Genomic DNA, 18,611 nt, shown 5'->3' on the forward strand with positions numbered 1-18,611 from the left:
GTCTCCTGGGTTTAAACCCAATCTACCCTATCCAAGTCAATGTGTCCAGAACAGGATTGATAACTTGAGTCATTCCTGATTCTCTCTTCAGGCCTCCACTTCCAGTCTCTCACTCAAGTTAATCATGTTTTCCTTTACATTTATCGCACCTTTGCCTCTTCCTTTTCATTATCAGTTGTAACCCTATAGATCAGGGTCTTGTCTCCCCTTGTGAGACCAGAAGTCTCCACACTTTTAATCTTATAGCCCCTTGTTTAACATTTCTGAGTTCAGATTCTCAATGTATGTATATGTATTTACAAATTATATACATATTCTACTTCTCTAATATATTTGTGTACATGATTTAAAAAGAGAGGAACAGACATTGAAATGTGAGTGAAGAATTTGAAATAAATATTTTAATGATTTTAATTGTATACATTAAATGGGTACAAAATGCCTTTTTGCTCTTCCTACATGTATTATAAATAATATCTTTTAATGAGAATAATGTGATTGAATATGCCCAGTCATGTTTGAAATGTTGGTTTACACTTTGTAATACAGCTATTTAAAGATCTAGTTCGATGTTTGGTTCATTTTGATACTCGTTTTTGATGTCTTACTTAGTGGGAAAAGATACGTCTCAAAACATGTAGATCCAAAACAAAGAGAGTATTGGTTGACTATACCAACTAAATCATGATAATCATTTTTAAGTTTTGTCCAGAATTATGCTAAAGTTTTTTTTAAATGTAATATGTCTTTTTAGTATAGCTGAAGTTTTATTCTCCTGTTTTAGTTTTCACTTGTCTGTTTGTTGGTTGGTTTTATGGCTTTTTGTTTCCTCTTGGGTAATATGACTCAGAGGACATATTGAGGAAGTGTGGTAGAGGAGGGTTTTATGAGCATATATTTCTCTACCATCTTTCCCAGGAATTGAATATCATATTTTCAAAAATCTAGTAAGTTACCTGGAAAAATGTTTAGGACATAGCTTTAAGAGAATAGAAAAGCAGCATATAAAACTAAAATAGGATATTATCCAGTTTTTTAAAAAAAAGTGAATTTACAAGAAAAGTCACAATATTTTAATATTATCTCTGGGAGACATGATAATGGATGATTTTCGTTCTTTTACTCATGCTTTTCTTTATTCTCCAAGGCTTAAATAAATAACATTTATTAATTTTAGATTACAAAAAGACTTTTAAAACAAGGTGACATCAAATACTTTTAAAAAGAAACAGGTTGCCGATGATGTTTGTGTTTCAGCCCCCGAATTACCTATGCTCTTACACTATGTGCAGGTATAGCTAGAGCTATAATATAGCACAGTCATTGATGTTTGGTTTGGAACAAAAGAGGGTTCTTTTGCTAAATTAGAAATCTAAAAATGCTTGGACTTATGCTCACTACATTGGGAAGGGAATGGGGCAAATGCAGGTGGCAAGGGGCAGAAAATGTAAACTGTCTATATTTTAAAAGATGTTTCCCTGTAAATATGTACTTCTTCTACCCACACTCCTCTGAAAGACAAAATGTTAGCACAGAGCAAAACAGAGAAGGCAGAAGAAATGAACCCGTATCATAATCTGGAAAGTGGGATGGCCAATCTTCTCAAGCCAATAGATGACTTCTGCACAAAGTTCTTTGTGGGAACAGAGGTAAATTGGGATTATCTGCTTTTAAAATTAATACTTATTTATACTAAAATATGTTATTACAATATCTACTGTACATTTTTGCTGTGTAAAGACATAAAAGTTATACCATTTTCATATTTTAGTATGCTTGTTTGCATTAAACATTTTTAACTCTGATACCTCATAGTTTCACCTTTAAAATGTTCCTGAACGTATGTGGACAAATCTGTAAAATTGCATACTTTTTAACTAATAATATATTGTTCAATCTACAAATATTCATCAAATACCTTTATCATTTGGAAGAAACCATACTAAGTGTTAGAGATTTACTAAGAAACTATAGTGTTTTGTTGGGCTAACACAATCTAGTAGAAGAGACAGAAAAAACTCACTCATTTCAAAAGATAAATAACAATTGGATATAATAATGATAATGGCTGCCATTTTCTAAGGACATACTGTAATAATAACCAAAGCGAGTTCACATTTACTGGACATTTTCTATGTATCAGTGTCTGTGCCAAGTTATTTTCCAAATTATATCCCATTTAATCCCAGTAATCCTGTAAGGTTGGTATTATTATTGCCATTTTATAAATGAAGAAATGAGGCTCAGAACTTTATCTACAGTCATACAGAGGCAGAGATGCTCTTTTCACTCATGACTCTCATTCCCTGAAATACAGAGTATTTTTCCCAGGCCAAGTCACCATGAGAAGAGGCCATAGCTCAGTCTCACCAGAATGCAATCTTCATCCACACTTTGGTATGAAGAGGAAAGCAATCAATTCCACAAGCTCTGGAGAACATGACTGTGTCTCAGGCACAGCACTGGGTGCTGGGATCAGAAGTGAATAGCATGGTCCCTCTCTCCTCAAGGCACTTTCTGCCTAGTCGAGGAGCAGACACATGATAAACACCAACACCAGTCCAGAGGCCATTCCGATAGGAAGAAGGAGGTTGGGGAAGGTGACCCACAGGCTGCTTGGATGTTGGAGGTTGAGAAGGAATCTCAAAGGTCAGGTTGAGAGTAGAATTCCAAGCAGAAGTAACAGCCTGAACAATATTTGGAGTTATGAAAGCCCAGTATTTGTCTGGAGTTAGTGAAATAGTTTGGTGTAAGAGGGAAAGGTATGTCTAGAATGCCTGGTTGGAATCCAATACTGAAGAGCCTTTCCTGCTGTGTTAGGTAATTTGAGTTTCATTTAGTAAGCAATGCAACACTACCAAATAAATATGTGCTTTATAACTTGGGTTTCACAGCAAAGTTTAAAAAATTTTTTTAATTGTGGTAAAATATATGTAACATAAAATTAATCATCTTAGCCATTTTTAAATGTACAATTCAGTGGTATTAAGAAACTCCTTTCCCAAAGGAGTTCAATAATCTGTTGGAAAAGTACATTCATATTGTACAACCATCACCACCATCCATGTCCAGAACTTTTCCTCATCCCAAACTGGGCGTCTGTACGCACTAAACACTAACTCCCTCTTCCTTTCTTTCCCTACCCACTTGTAACCACCATCTACTTTCTGTATCTACGAATGTGACTATTCTAGATACCTCACGTAAGTGGAATTATACAATATTTGTCCTTTTGTGCACCAAAGTTTATAAAGCAGGGGAATGACACCATCAGACCAGATTTAGAAAAATCAGTGACTGCAAGATCTTAAAGCAGAAATTAAAGCATGACACCCCCTGCTCAAACTCTTCAGTGACAACTCAGTACAACATGAATAAAATCCAGACTCTTCACACCATGGCCTATAAGATTCGTCCCCTGCCTATCTCTCTGCCTTATCTGCACCAACCTCCCTCTCACTCTGGCAGCTCTGTTTTTTCCTTTTTTCTTTTTTCTTTTTTTTTTGAGATGGAATCTCATTCTGTCACCCAGGCTGGAGTGTAGTGGCACGATCTCGGCTTATTGCAACCTCCACCTCCCAGGTTCAAGCAATTCCCCTGCCTCAGCCTCCTGAGTAGCTGGAATTACAGGCGTGTGCCACCATGCCCAGCTAATTTTTTTGTATTTTTAGTAAAGACAGTGTTTCACCATGTTAGCCAGGCTGGTCTTGAACTCCTGACCTCAGGTGATCCGCTCGCCTTGGACTCCCAAAGTGCTGGGATTACAGGCGTGAGCCACTGTGCCCGGCCTTTTTTCTCATCCTCCTAATACAAACTCTTGCCTGCCTTTGGAGGCCTTGCCCTACTTGGAATTTCTTTACTCATCCCTCAACAGATACTCACTGCACATTTAATATATGCCAGGCATTGCTCTTGGCCCTGTAGATATAGCACTGAACAAACAGACAAAATTCCCTGGCCTCATGGTGTTGGCAGTCCATTGGAAGGTTCTACCAACTTGTGACACAGCTGATCCATCTACTTTGGATAGAGATGTTCAGGGAGGCATCACTGGGATCTCGACTGGCTGGCGTGGGCTGAGGGAAGGGAGTGGAACCCTGGAGGGAGAGAAGACAGGCAGGCGGTGATTTCAGGTGGGCCAGCCCAGAAATGAAAAGGGCCTGAGCAGTGGGGCCAAGAATGTCAACACAGGGGTCAGAGAAGTGGAGTTGGGTAACAGAATTACAGAAGTGGCTAGAGAAGGGTATAGAGGTTTCCAGCTAGGTGACTGATGATACGATGAGCCTTCAACACACATTTATTAGATTGGTTCCAACTAGTCCTCGTTGACTTGGTTCAATTTCATTGTTTCATGTACTGGCTATGAGACCCAGGAGATATTAATAACTCTCTTACAGGACTTTGGTGAGGGCTAAGGGTCACATCCATAAAACTCCTAAGAACGCTGGCAAGGACTGAGTGCTCAAGAAGTGGTATCCGTGAGGGTGATGTGCAACATGGCCATAGATTAGCAAAACATGTACCCATCTGTCTGCTTCCTTAGACTGTGAGGATCGTGAGTAGAGAGAGGGCTTGTCCTTGGATTTGGAATTTCCAGCACCAAATACAGTCCTTGTTTGTTAAATGAATTAACACAGATGAATAAAAGCTCAGGTGGGTGAATGAGTGACCTTGTCCCCAGTGAGTTTATCCTTCCCTTTGCATAAATCAAATGTGCTCTTATCTCCCCTTCCTGGCTACAGATCCCAATCCATCCCCATTTTATACAAACTCCTGTGTTTTTCTCTTCTCATCCAGTGAAGAAACAATGGAATTAGGAGATCGCATGGGGTGATCTAGAGCAAGTCATTTAACCTCTCTCAGTTTTCTCATCCATCCAATGACAGCGAGGGACTAATTATTTTCTGTAAACTTCTCCCACCTCTGTAATTCATCGGTTCTCTCTGTCTTTCCCCTTTGCATGACTGTTTCTTCCTCTTCTTACATCAGGTCCATTTGCCTTCCCCTCTCCTTAAAACGGCCATAAGACAGAATAAGAATACATATCGCTTGCTATTTTATTTAGATTGAACTTTATGTTTCCTGTTCTCAACCTGAAAAGTAGTAATTACTACCATGTATGCATTCATAGTCCCTCATTCTTGCTTATTCCACAAATATTTATTAACAATTGACTTTCTAATGGGCTGAAAAGTAATCACTGAATAAGATGGCCTGATCCCTCCCTTTACGGATCAACAACAAAAACTTTGGATGCCCAGCGGTTGGGACTATTGTCCCAGATGGAGTATCTGCAGAACTATCATGTTCTCCACATCATTATATGTGGATAAAAACACAACAAACTCATTGTTTCTTCAATATAAAATTGAGTACTCATTTTGAGGCTTTCCCTCTCCCCCACTGGATCAAATTACTTGATTAAATTGACTTGTTGTTTTGCATTTGTTTTGCTTAACAGTCAATCTTAGCACATGAGTGTGAAGTCTTTTGTCTCTTAAGTTGTCATTGTACTCATCAGGAACCTGTAATATTTTTAGGAAGGCGAAGTGATATACACAGATTGGAAAATGGAAAAAGACCCTGAAACTGGCCGACTTATGTGTAAGTTTTGTGATTGCCCTGTTATTAATAAGATGTTCCTTTTAATTTAAACTACCCAAAGGAATCTCATGCAGTACAGAGTCACCCTGGTCTTGCTAATGGGAGGGAAGGCTCCTAAGGTACTGACTAATAAAGTGAAGGCCTTGAATAAGCAGCATAGTCATCACCTGGGAACTTGCTGAAAATACACATAAAAATCTTAGATCCTACGCCAGGCCTTCTGAATTGGAATCTGGATTTTAATAACATTTTCCAGGGTATTTGTTTTCACACCAAAATTTGAGGAGCACTGACCTATATGTTGCTTAAATGACGGAGAAACTTGAGTGATTTAATTTAAAAATAAAATACTGTTTCAATAATTCAATAACCTGGTAGTTCATCTATGTGGAAAATCTGAGTCAATGTGAGATTATAAGCAAAATGTAAGATAATCTAGAAGACCCCAGCAGAGTATGGGAAAAGGGACTGCAGGACCCTCCTTTGGGGCTAGGACAGGTCGTGTCTTTATGTCTGCTGCTCCCAGGACCTGGGCCTCTGGAAAGCTGAGCAGAAGCATGTGGGTCACATCCAGGCGGGAGAAGGAACTGCAGTCAGGAATACAGGCACCCCAATAAGCAAAGCTCCCTATCTCTAGCAGGCTCAGAGCCTTGGGGTTCACTACAATTATAACTGCTCATTTTAAACCTTTGAATTTTGTCATAGTGTGAAAATATATTTTAATGCATTTCACAGTTTGGGATAACCATAAGCAAACGAAGAGGCAGCTCCTGGGACTGCTAGGCCCACAAAGGCTTGCAAGAAGTCTTCAGAACACCATGAGGGAGCAGTGTGGTAGAGCAGCTGGATTCTTTGCAGAAGGGTATCTAGTCAATCATGCGAGTGGAAGTGTGAGTGACTGACAGGGGAGCAGGGCCCTCTAAGAACATAGCAATTAATATGATAAAATTCAGAAAACATTAGTATAAAGTGGCTGGACATTGTGGTGTGGCCTTGACAGCCATATGTTTTTGTGGTCATGCCTGGGGCATAGGGTTGTGGGCAACAAGAAATTAGGAGGATTCAGTTCTGCAGCCAACTCTCAGGGAGAGGAAACCCAAGCAGAATCCTCCTGTTACCTGAGTAAAGAGACCAGAGAAGCAGGAAGACCCTGGGACCTGGGGCAGAGGCTAAAGTGAACTCTTGATCTTAGCATTAGAACCTGTAAGGCTTCCCACTGGCAACAAATGGAAGGACTGTGGCTCTTGTCAGAAACCTGGCTGTCATTCTCAGCATTTCATCTCTGTCTTCCTATTCAAGTTGTCTCCAAGTCCTGTCAATTCTAGCTCACAAATATTTCTTGATTATCCCTTCTTCTCCCTTGCATCTTAGACCACGCCACCATCCTCTCTCACCAGAACTGCCACTGCAGCCTCCTCTGCTTTTACCTTCCCCTAATCCATTCTCCCCACAACAGCCAGAGACTCTTTCAGAAATGTCAATCAAATTGTCTCACTTGGAGACCTAAAGGACTCATTACAACACACAACACTTAGAGTGTAATCTGAACTCCTTTCTTACAAGGCCCAGCATGGCCTAGACCCTCCTAGTCCCCATTTGTTTCATGTCTCACTCTAAAATGACCAGATTGCTGTCGGGGGTGCCTTCCTCAAGTGTGTAAAAGCACTAAACACTTCTCTCCTTAGGACTTTGGTGTGTGTTGTTTCCACTGTCTGGAATGTTCCTTCACACCAAAATCTTCCCATGTTGAGCTGCTATTCAGGCCTACATGATGCATCTCCACAGAAGCCTTTCCTGACCCTTCAGTCTAAATTACAAATCCTCTTGTTATTCTTACTTGTAATATTTTTTCCTTCACAACACTTTTCACAATTTTTACATTGTATACTTTGGGATGTGTTTATTGAAATTCTATCTTTCCCACTGGACTGTAAGCTCCTTGGGGGCAAAATCATGTTTATTTACTAACCATTGTCTACCCAGCCAGCTACAGTACCTGCTATTACATATTGGCAATCTATAAATATTTATTGACTAATTGAGTGAATTAATGAATGAGTAAATGAATAACACAAAGTATTCATTTAAGCTTGAAAAATGGCCTTGATGGGATGTTCCCTGGACATTCCATAATAACAGAAGGAGCCATCCCTTGACAGATCTATTCATCCCAGCTAGCCTCTGGTTCTCCACTCCCCGACCCCATTCATGGGGCCCTGTCTGTCCATTGGAGGTCTGTCCATTCCTCACTGCAGGAATGCAAACAGTGTTATTAAAGATGAGATGGTCTTCTTTCACTCCAATAGCAAAGAAGCCAGTGAGCCACCACACCATTCACGACGGAACTGTCCACACTATTCAGAGATCACCTTTCTACAACGACATTATTCTCACGGTTGGAGGTTGGAACGTGGCCATATGGAAAGAAGGTGTTATGGTAAGTTGCCTGCAAAATGGAAGCATGAGTGTGTGATCTTTTGTTATTCAGAAAGACAAGAGGAACTGTTATGTTCTGACATAATAGTGCCTTTGGGACACTTTTTAGAGAAATTAGAACAGATGGCAGGGACACCAGCTTGTCAGCAGAACCACTGTAATCCTTTTGAAAACACATTCATTTGTTTTTCCTTCCTGAGGGGAGAAAACAGTTTACAAGTTCCTTGTTCTCTGAAACTTAACAGTCTTGGAATATCTACTGTGGGCAGTTGACTTCACTGGCATTTTTTGGGGGTGGGGGCCAAGGTCTCACTGTGTGGTCCAGGCTGGAATGCAGTGGCGTGATCTCTGCTCACTGCAGCCTCGACTTCCCAGGCTCAGTTGATTCTCCCATCTCAGCCTCCTGAGTAGCTGGGACGACAGGTGTACGCCACCAAGCCCAGCTTTTTTGTGTGTGTTTTTTGTAGAAATGGGGATTTCACCATGTTGCCCAGGCTGGTCTCAAACTTCTGGGCTCAAGTGATTCACCTGCCTCGGCCTCCCGAAGTGCTGGGATTACAGGTGTGACACCACACCTGAACTTGACTTGCATTTTTCCTCCCTTGGAAATACAAGATGGGATGCCTAATTCTGATTGAAGTGCAAGGAGAAACACTGGGTTTGTCATCTTTCCCTCTGCACCAGGAATATCTTGGCAGGTGCAGAAAGTGGGAGTGAATAAGCTGAGGGTATGTCAGCAGGCAGACCCTTGCCTGTCCAGGGACATACAGTAGTTAAAGGGAGGCAGCAAGAGTGTGGTCAGGATTAGGAGAGGGGCTGGATCTAGGCAGATAGGAGCTAAACTGCCAAAAACTAGAATGATTGATAAAATCCAGTGAAGCAAGGGTGTGGGGGAATCAGTACTTTTGGTGGGATTGTAAGTTGACATGTCTCTTTGATGAGCAATTTGAGATTATCAAAGCCTGAAACTATATATATATGTGTATATGCATATAATATATATGTATATATGCATATGTGTATACCAACTTTGAAATACATGTGTGTATGTACATAGGCATATAATGTGGATATATATACACACACATATATATATTTCAAAGTTGGTATACATATATACATATATAAATGTATATATATTTAACCTAACAGTTCCACTTCTGAAACTCTAACATATACAAATACTCAAAAACTGTATATTTATCATTGAAAATAATTTAGAAACTACTTAAATGGTCATCAACAAAGAACTCTGCTTTATGCCAATGTACTTCTGTATGTTTGATTTTTTTTTTTTTTACAATTAGCAAGTTTTGTAGTTAAAGAAAAAGAAAAAGGAAATTCAGGCATGATTGTCCAAAGACTATGCCAGGGTCAGGAATTTGGTTATAGAAACTCAAGGTGCTGGGAGAAGTAGACAAGGAGAACAAGTTTGAAATGTCACCTCCACAGAGTCCATGAATCTGCGACATGCTTTCTTCACAGGAAAATCTCTTATGCATATATTGGAGGGTGGGAGACAGCTCCATGATTTAGTTTAGTCCCTGCAGATGTAAGTAGGCGAAGGAGCACCCCTGGTCAGTAGATGAAGCCTGAAGTGGGTAGAAAGCACATTCTATTCTTACTTTTGAAAACCTCCCAAAGAAGGCAGACTACCCCATGGTAGAGAAAAGAGAAGATGATTGCATGATGCTTTGATGGTCTAAAATCTCTTCCTAGTGTATTTATAGGTGATCAACTGCTTCCAGCTGAAGTCACTTTATATGAGAATTTGCCAATTCTGATGTTGATTTTCAACATGCAGTACACAGCTGGAACTGGCAGACTTTTCATTTGTTTTACTCTCTACTGTTTACTGAGCTGTTTCCATGGGAAGCAGATATCTGATAGCAAAATAAAGGCATAAGCAGAATGTCCTTATAATCTTTACTTGTCTAATGTCCACCAATTTCCACAGAAATAGTCGTAAGGTTAGAAGCAGTAGTGGGTTTAGAAGTTGGATTATTAGAAACTTCAACAACTTAATTGGAATGTTTAATATTTTCTGAAAAGCAACTAAAAATGGCTTATGAAAACAAGAAAGAAAAGCTGGTGTTATATAAAAACCCTACAACAAAGAGAAGTAAGACTTCCTGTGGGCATAATTTTGTTGTTATATGATCATAGCTAGCTTGAGTTGTACTTAATGAACAGCATGGTGAATTTCCCTCAGATAATAACAAAATCTTCTTTATTTGTCTTTTTAAAAATTTGTTTAAAGACTGGACCGCTCCTTCAGTCATGCTGTGCACCAAAAAGGTACACCTCAGGCCACTGGTCCCTGACTCGGCCCGGAGTTTTCTACATCGGCCGAGAAGATGGATACATTGATATCTGGGACCTTCTGGAGAAAACCCATGAACCAGCCCAGTCTCAAAACATTTGCATAACTATGATCACCTACATCAAACCCTGGATCTTTTCTTGTATGTTAATTCTAACTAAATAAGCTAAGTCATTTTGGGTAACTCGGGAACATCTTGACATTCATCTGAAAAGCCTCCAATGTTTATTTCTTAGTTTTTTGTTTTTCTTCCTGCTCATCCCTTCTTATCCCTTCCCTTCTCTTCCTTTCCTTTTCATTCTTCTCTCTTCCCTTTCCTTCCCATCTTTCCTCTTCCTTTTCCTTCTCTCTTGGTCTCAAACTTTGGACACAACCTGAGCTCTTCTCACTGTTGCCTCATCAAGAATGATTTCTGAGACACGTGTCAGGCAGAGGCTGGTTTTGAACTGCACGATGGGAACATCCTTCTCTTCTCCGGGTCAGACAGGATGACCCGGATCTTTGTTATCTTTTGCTGATTTTTTTTCCCAGATAGAATAAATTTTGTTTCTTTAATTTTCATTACAAATCATATTTTTAAATATTATATCACTTTTGTGGTTCTCCCCTGGCTAATATCAAGCAATTCTCTTCATAAGATAAAATGATTATCTGGAGTTATATATGTATTTAAGCTTTAACCTTTGAACCAACTATGAGGAAAAACTACTATATAACAAAACAAGCATAAATTCAATGATGTGTCTATAGAAACATGATGTATGTCCTTTGTCTCCATTTTTTTTCTGTTTCGCCCAAGTAGTAATTTCTATGTAAATCCAGTATGTTTGCCTTTTTTTATTTTATTTTTTTGCAGTGACGTCTTGCTCTGTTGCCCAGGCTGAAGTGCAGTGGTGTGATCAATCCTCCTGCTTCAGCCTCCCAAAGTTCTGGGATTATAGGGGTGAACCACTGTAACCCACCTGCCTTTTTTAAAAGAAGAAGTTTCCCTTTGTTTCCAAAGGTGTACAGCATGAAATTCTCTTTCTATCCATTTCTCAGAAACATTAGATTTGGAAACTCAGTCTTCAGCATCTTGAGTGTCACAGTCAGACTACTGCTTAGCCATATGTGCCACCCAAGTATCTTTTCCCACTTTGGTGTAAAACATTGCTTTGTACGCCTACAGGGATTATGAATCCAGGATTTTGCAATTTGAAGCAGACCTACTAAAAAGGAAAAGAACACACACACAGTGAGATAGAAAATTACAATTCTCAGGCCGGGCATGGTGGCTTACACCTCTAATCCCAGCACTTTGGGAGGCTGAGTGAGGTGGGGAGATCACTTGAGTCCAGGAGTTCAAGGCCAACCTGAGCAACATGGCCAAGACCCTGTCTCTACAAAAAATACAAAACAAAAATTAGCCGGGCATGGTGCTATGTGCCTGTAGTCCCAGCTACTCAGGAAGCTGAGGTGGGATGATTGATTCAGCCTGGGAGGTTGAGGCTGCAGTGAGCCATGATCATACCACTGCATTCTAGCCTGGGCCACAGCGGGGAGACCCTGTCTCAAAAAAAAAAAAAAAAAAAAAAAAAGAAGAAGAAGAAGGAGAAGAAAAAGATTAAAAATCTCAAATACTTTGCATATTATACCCATTTTAAATGTTCAAAGGCAGCTACTTGTTTTTACAATAAGACCTGTGATTCTGGCTACATCTTTGAAATTCTTCTGGATGATGGTACCCTTTAGCCCTTTCTGTGTTCAGTGAAAATGAACTTCATAACTTTTCTTTGAAAATCTTTCCATGTGTTCTCCTTGCTTTCTTCTCAAGTATGCCCAGTGGGCCCAGCCACAGAGAGAGTCAACTTCAGCCAGGAGCCACATTCCTTATACAGTCACCAGAAATACAAGTTTTGAGGCAGCAGGGGAACCGACAAAGGCTCAGTCTTAGCTTTCATTTCATCAGCTGGAAAAAATGACTTGTACATGTTTACATGGTCCAGCCATGAACATCTGATGAAAATGCCAAGATCACTGGAACCACAGCAGGTCCTTTGGGAGAACACAAAACAAAAACATACTTCATGTTTAACTGCTTAAGATGGTTTTCTGTTTGCTGATTTTTTCCTCCCATTTATTTTAAAATTTTCAGCTAAACAGCAATTTATAGCCACAGCTGATTATTATGGAACACTGCATATATTAGAAATTCCTTGGACATTAAGTCGCCCTTCCACCAATGAGGTTAGTAACTAACTTATGACTTTGAGAATTAATGTGACCAGATATTGCTGAGATATGTCTTTAAAAAAATGTTAGAAATGACAGCATTTTTGCTCTGTAAGGGAACAAAAGACTCATACAGTAAATAAGAGGATGTATTTCTGTTGTATGAGTTAAATAGTTTGAAGCTTTAAAAAAAAGCCCCAAACATGACATGGGAGGGAAACCAAGTCAATGAAGTCCAGATTCTGAGAGAATAATGACTTGGGGATTCATAATCAGAAAATGTCATTTTTCCCATTGTAACCGAAGTGTGGGGTGCTGATTTCAGTGATACCCTTCCCTGAGGGCCCAGTTGACATGTTCATGCATCTCTCCATCACCCACCCCCTCCGGCTCCCAACCCAACTTGGAGTATAGCAGGCAGCACAGCTGAACTGGCGGTATTCTGCACCCCCCACACTGTACCCACCACCCAAGTGTTTCAAACAATGTTAATAATGAGGCTTTAAAAAGATCAATGAATAGAAATATATAAATGTATATACAATGAACATTAAACATATAGATTGCAGTCTGCTGCAAGTCCAAACATCAGCCTAGTTACTGGCAGGCAAAAGGCTGTCTCTGCCCTGGTTGCCTTCCCCAAGGTCTCTGCTGACTTTCCTGCTTCTATTCTATGCCTACACTCGAAGCCCTCCAGGGACCAGGAATTCAGCTCTGCTTCCAGTCCCTCTAGGATCTACATTGATACTCTCATCTGGGTTTTCTAAGTTTGATTGATGATATGAAACTTCCCCCAGATTTAGAAGGAAGAAGGAAGAAATGGGGAAAAAGCAACCCCTGAATATTTCTACTACAAAATTGCACATTTTTGCAGCTCTCTCCTTCCAACCCTACTTTGGAAACCTCCAAGTCACAGAGCCCTAAATGTTAGCACAGTAGCCCCTGAATTGTACCAGCTCCTCTGGTAGTGGGCCTGTGAATACAATTTCCAAATTATATTCACCTAAAAGATTTAAAGTATCACAAAATAGATAATCTACATAATGATTAGGTAGATGATCATTAGATAATGATCAAGTAGATTAGGGAGGTAGATTAGGTAGGTCGTCTACCTAATTACAAGCAGCAGAAATTCTAACAGAGCCTTGTAAAGGTCATGGGGGCTTCCTGCCTGTCACCCTCTCATGGACTTCTGTTTCTAACAGATGGCAAGTGTCAACCACTATTTTGAAAGAGAAGTCAAGCATCTGGAATACGTAGAACAGCGCAAAAAAATTCGTGAGCAAGAAAAGAAAGAAATGGAACTAGAAATGGCAAAGAAAAAAGTTGTAAGTTAAATTTCAGAAATGAAAGATGTTTTCCTCGAACACCAGTGGAAATATATTTGTTTGGCTTAATCCACAGTTTCCATAGAAAAGTTATACTTTTTCACATTCTTCTCTTGTTCTCATGAGAGTCAAGAGGGCATTCCTTTGATTTCCTAGCTCACTGCCAGTTAGACACGTAGTGAGATTCTGTCCAATTTAAGTTTCTGAAATTTTCTATAATTTCAAAGTCCTTTAGTACAGATACCTTAATTCAAAATTTGAATGCTTTCATTATAGAATTTTAATATCTGGTGAATAATGCATTAAAGAAGGTGGTGCAAAAAGAGTTGAATATGGAATCAAGACACGTGGGCTCAAATCCCAACTCTGCCACTGACTAGCTGTGAGATTTGGAGCAAGGCTGTCACCTTTGCTGAGCTTCAGGTCTCTTATCTTGAAAATGGGAATACTAATAACTAGGATTACTGTAAGGCTGTCAGTTAAAGAAAGTGACAAATAGACTTTCAGTAAATAGTGCTATTATAATTATAATGATAGATGATAGATTAGATAGATGATAGATAGATAGATAGATAGATAGATAGATAGATAGATAGATAGATAGATAAATAGATATGAGGGGGTAGAGAGAAAGAGGTGAATTTTACTGTATATGATATGCTGAAGATATGAAACTTGAAATAGAGGAGAATTTGGTACAGGGCACATCCATCTTAAACTCTGCCAAAAAAGAACCTAAGCTCTAAAGCACCCCATGCTCCCTTTCTCAGCTTCTCCCTGTTTGATACGAATTCTGTGACTCTGCTGGTCTTCCCTTGCCCACTGGAATTTTGGGCTTCTAAATACTTTGTGAATTAGGCTTTTCTCTCTTTCTCACTTGAGATCACCTCAGTCTCAATTTCTGTTTCCCTCTTGCTCCCTCTCTCCTTTGCTCTTTTGTTACCAGCATTTCATCATTGATCTCATCTGTAGGTTCCGTATAGCCAAATACATACATCCTCAAACACAGTTACTCACATGAGGCCTTCAGTCTCAAAAGCATTAGCATGTGGCACTGGGCGCCGTGGCTCACACCTGTAATCCCAGCACTTTGAGAGGCTGAGGCAGGCAGATCACGAGGTCAGGAGTTCGAGACCAGCTTGACCCACATGGAGAAACCCTGTCTCTACTAAAAATACAAAATAAGCCGGGCATGGTGGCACATACCTGTAATCCCAGCTACTCGGGAGGCTGAGGCAGGAGAATCACTTGAACCTGGGAGGCGGAGGTTATGGTGAGCCGAGATTGTGCCATTGCACTCCATCCTGGGCAACAAGAGCGAAACTCCATCTCAAAAAAAAAAAAAAAAAAATAAAGCATTAGCATGTGGAAATATTGTAATGTGCTGCATTAGCAAATAAATTAACATTATCACTCATTGATAAATACTAATTAGTGCAATAAAAGCAGAGGATCTCATTTCAAAACATGTTTGGTGACAAAGTGTAAAAGAATGCCAATTAATTAAACTTTCATTGCATTCCACTGCTACAAACAAATTGATCTTAGTTTTGTTCTTTTGCACTTAACAAATGTTGATTTGTTGAGATTCTATTGTGGGAGAGAATCTGCCACCCTTCCCCTTCCCCAGCAATTATCCACGATTATTATGAGTGTTTAAATACCATAGCAACAGCTCCTAATTATCTACATCAGTGGGAGCGAGTAGAATTGTGGATAATCCAAAAATAATTTGCATGTGAAATACTTTTTAAACACCTGAATATTATAATAATAATATCTTAAATTGTATTATACTTTTCAATTTCCAAAACGTTCCCAACTTCTTGTAACTTTATTTCCATTTGATATGGTGCCCTCTTTTAAGTAAAGCCACCACTTCTCAAATTTTCTCTGCAACTATGAATAGATTGTGGGTATGTGAATGAATTTGAAAGGGTTCCTCTGTTACATTGAGAACATAAAAAAAGTCACTAAGGAAAAACAACTAATGTTAGTCAGAAATGTCTCCTTCTAAGCAACGGCTGATAAAGGGGGAAATGGCAACAGTAACAACCTCAGAAGATTGCAATGGAGCTTAAATGAGTTAAAATATTTACAGCACTTAGCCAATAACTGGCACATAGAAAGTGTTCACATGTTCGTCCAGCAAGGCTGGCCTGTGTGAGTGCTCACCAGGTGCCAGGTTGAGGCTGTACAGTTCAACACAGATTTCAGGAAAATCATGCACCTGTCTCTTTGCAAACATAAAATCTGGAAACAGCTCACTCCTCAATGGACAATAATAATCACTGCTCTAGTTGCATATGAAATGGGAATTTTCCTAACCAGAATTTCAGCTGGAGACTCAGCCTGGGACAGTAGTCATTGCCGTGTGATCCACAAGCTATGCCATCCATATGGACTCAGAAGAGGGGGATTTCAAAAGAATTCTGCAACCTCTAGGCTATTAGTCACCCTCCAGTCTACATAAGGGAAACAAGAGTTATAGGGAAGAAGGCCGGAAAAAGGGACTTTTTTTTGAGAGACAGTGGTTGGGGACCATGTTTCCCCCCACTCCCTCCTTTCCCAGCACATCTGACTGCCTCCTGCCCACCTGCCCTCCTGCCTTCCTGCCCTCCATCCAGCCCTTTCCAGAAAACAGCAGCCAGGTCAACTATTCACAAACAGCCCCTTCTCATCCTTTGGTATTTTTAGATATCAGTGTTTTATAGGGATGTCTTGTTTTTCTTCCCCCCCCAGAAAACATATCAGAAGTCAAAAGAACAAATGCAGGCTGAATTAAAAATGGACTATGAGAGTTATCTGGAACTGGAAAAGACTGTTCTTATCAACCTTGGCCTAATCAAAGTCACAGAGAAGGGGTCATACATGGAGGTGATGTAAAAAAGCTTCCTGAAGGGGTGTTTTGGGGACTTCTTCCCTCTATTTATTTTTATGTCAGGTGAACTGGCATGCTGAACATATATATATATAGGCTCATTTATAGACTTTTATTTCCCTGCTATTAAAACTTTTGAATTTTAGCAATGAGATCTATTTCAGTTTTTGTACCATGTATGTACCAAATTTTGTACTGAATATGAAAGTGTTCTTTTTTAATGAATGTTTTCAATAACAAAATTTGTATTTTCCTATAATAATAGAGAACTTTGGATGTCCCTTCCATCCCAATCCTTGCTGTCCACACAGAGGCCCTCATTCCAGGCAGAAGGGGAAATCAAACTGCTCCTACTTATCAGCTTGCTTTTGGCCACCTTTCCAAAAAAAGTGCTTCCCCTTGGCCACTGTACAAACTGTAGGGCCATGTGCTAAACAAAATATTAGCAAATCAAATCCAGAAATATATATATATATATATTTTAAAGAGGTTAACACATGAAGACAAAGTTGGGTTTATCCAAGGAAGATAAGGTTAATTTAAGAGTAGAAAATAAATCAGTGATTAATCAAAAGAGAGAAATTATGATGCCAAGTCGATGCAGAAAAACATTTCATAAAAGTTGACATCAATTCATGATAATAATGATACATTCTTGGCATCTACAGAAAGAATTCCTGTAATGTGATGAAGGGCGTGTAAAACAATACTACACCAAACATGGTACTTCATGGTGACAAGCAGAAAGCTTTCCCCTGAGATGTGGAACAAGACACAGCTCACACCATCAGGTGCCTGACATCATGTACTGCAGTTGCCTTTTTGTTCCCATGCTGTTTAAGCCTAGCATAGGCACCAAAAAGCAACAACAGTATGTGAAACTGAGACACAAAAGAGCTTGGAGCCAGATTGTGAAGGCTCCTGTTTACCAAGCTAAGGAGCTGGATTAGAATTTATGGGGAATGAATGGAAGGTCTAAACAGGAAGTTGACCCAATCAGCTTTATTTTTAGGAAACAAGGAATGAACTAGAGCAGGGGAGAGTCTCATGGCAAGAAATCCTATTAGGAGGCAGGAGGAATTGTTCAGGGCAAAGGATTAGGATGCCCTGTACTAAAGCTTAATGTGAAGATAGAAATCAAAGGCTGGTTGGATGGGGAAGGGAAGACAAAGGATAATACCAAGGTTTATAAGTTAGATTGCTAGAGGAAAGAAAACTTTGTCGGATAGATTTTAGCTCTTAACCACCTGTGTGCCCTTGAACAGATGACCCAGCTCTGTGAAACAGATTCCCCTTCCATCAAGTCAGGTTGAGAGAACTTAACTTGCAGCATTTATGTAAGGGGCAAATGAGCCCCTGCAGATAAGGGGCCTGTGCCTGGCACATATTATTGTCATCATGATTGAAATATCCCAGGGCTCATCCTTACACTTGAACTTCTTTTATTCTTTCTTTTTTCTGCACTCACTTTCTAGGTGCATGCATCCACTCTCAAGGCTTTAGATACTACCTCTGTCCCTGACCTGGCCTTCTCTCTAAAATCAAGAGATGTGTATCTATTTGACCTTTTGTATCTCCACTTGGATGTTTAATAGGCATCTCAAACTTAAACATGTCCAAAATTGAGTGCTTGATGTTTCCCTTCAAAAACCATTCCTCCAGCAGTCCTCCCAGCCATGATGCTGCTTGGGGCAAAAGCCTTAAGGTCATCCTTCATCTCCTTTCTTTCACAATCCACATCCAATCTGTCAGCAAGTCCTGTTGACTACACGTTCAGTATGCATGTGAAACCTGATCGCTTCTCTTCTCCCTCACTGCTACCACCATG

The 18,611-nt window shown here is 39.8% G+C and overlaps 1 protein-coding gene and 1 non-coding gene across 4 annotated transcripts in view; both read left to right on the forward strand.

Annotated features, from left to right (window-relative positions):
• Positions 1-16,928, forward strand: part of DNAI3 (dynein axonemal intermediate chain 3) — a 70,812-nt gene extending 53,884 nt beyond the window's left edge. For 2 of the 3 annotated variants that reach the window (NM_145172.5, NM_001288563.2), the window contains 7 exons: positions 1,519-1,649; positions 5,541-5,604; positions 7,911-8,041; positions 10,301-10,505; positions 12,498-12,589; positions 13,780-13,902; positions 16,645-16,928. In NM_145172.5, coding sequence (NP_660155.2) covers positions 1,519-1,649; positions 5,541-5,604; positions 7,911-8,041; positions 10,301-10,505; positions 12,498-12,589; positions 13,780-13,902; positions 16,645-16,788 — 890 coding nt within the window. In that variant the 3' untranslated portion in view covers positions 16,789-16,928. Of the gene's footprint in view, positions 1-1,518; positions 1,650-5,540; positions 5,605-6,339; positions 6,522-7,910; positions 8,042-10,300; positions 10,506-12,497; positions 12,590-13,779; positions 13,903-16,644 lie in introns of those variants that run through there. The other variant, XM_047444741.1, reaches the window with a different exon arrangement.
• Positions 16,929-17,583: 655 nt separating this feature from the next.
• Positions 17,584-17,663, forward strand: MIR4423 (microRNA 4423). The gene has a single exon (NR_039619.1). It is a non-coding gene; the product is annotated as a microRNA 4423 (primary transcript).
• Positions 17,664-18,611: the final 948 nt, after the last annotated feature.

Source organism: Homo sapiens, chromosome 1 (assembly GCF_000001405.40).
Source record: "Homo sapiens chromosome 1, GRCh38.p14 Primary Assembly".
NCBI lineage: Eukaryota > Metazoa > Chordata > Mammalia > Primates > Hominidae > Homo > Homo sapiens.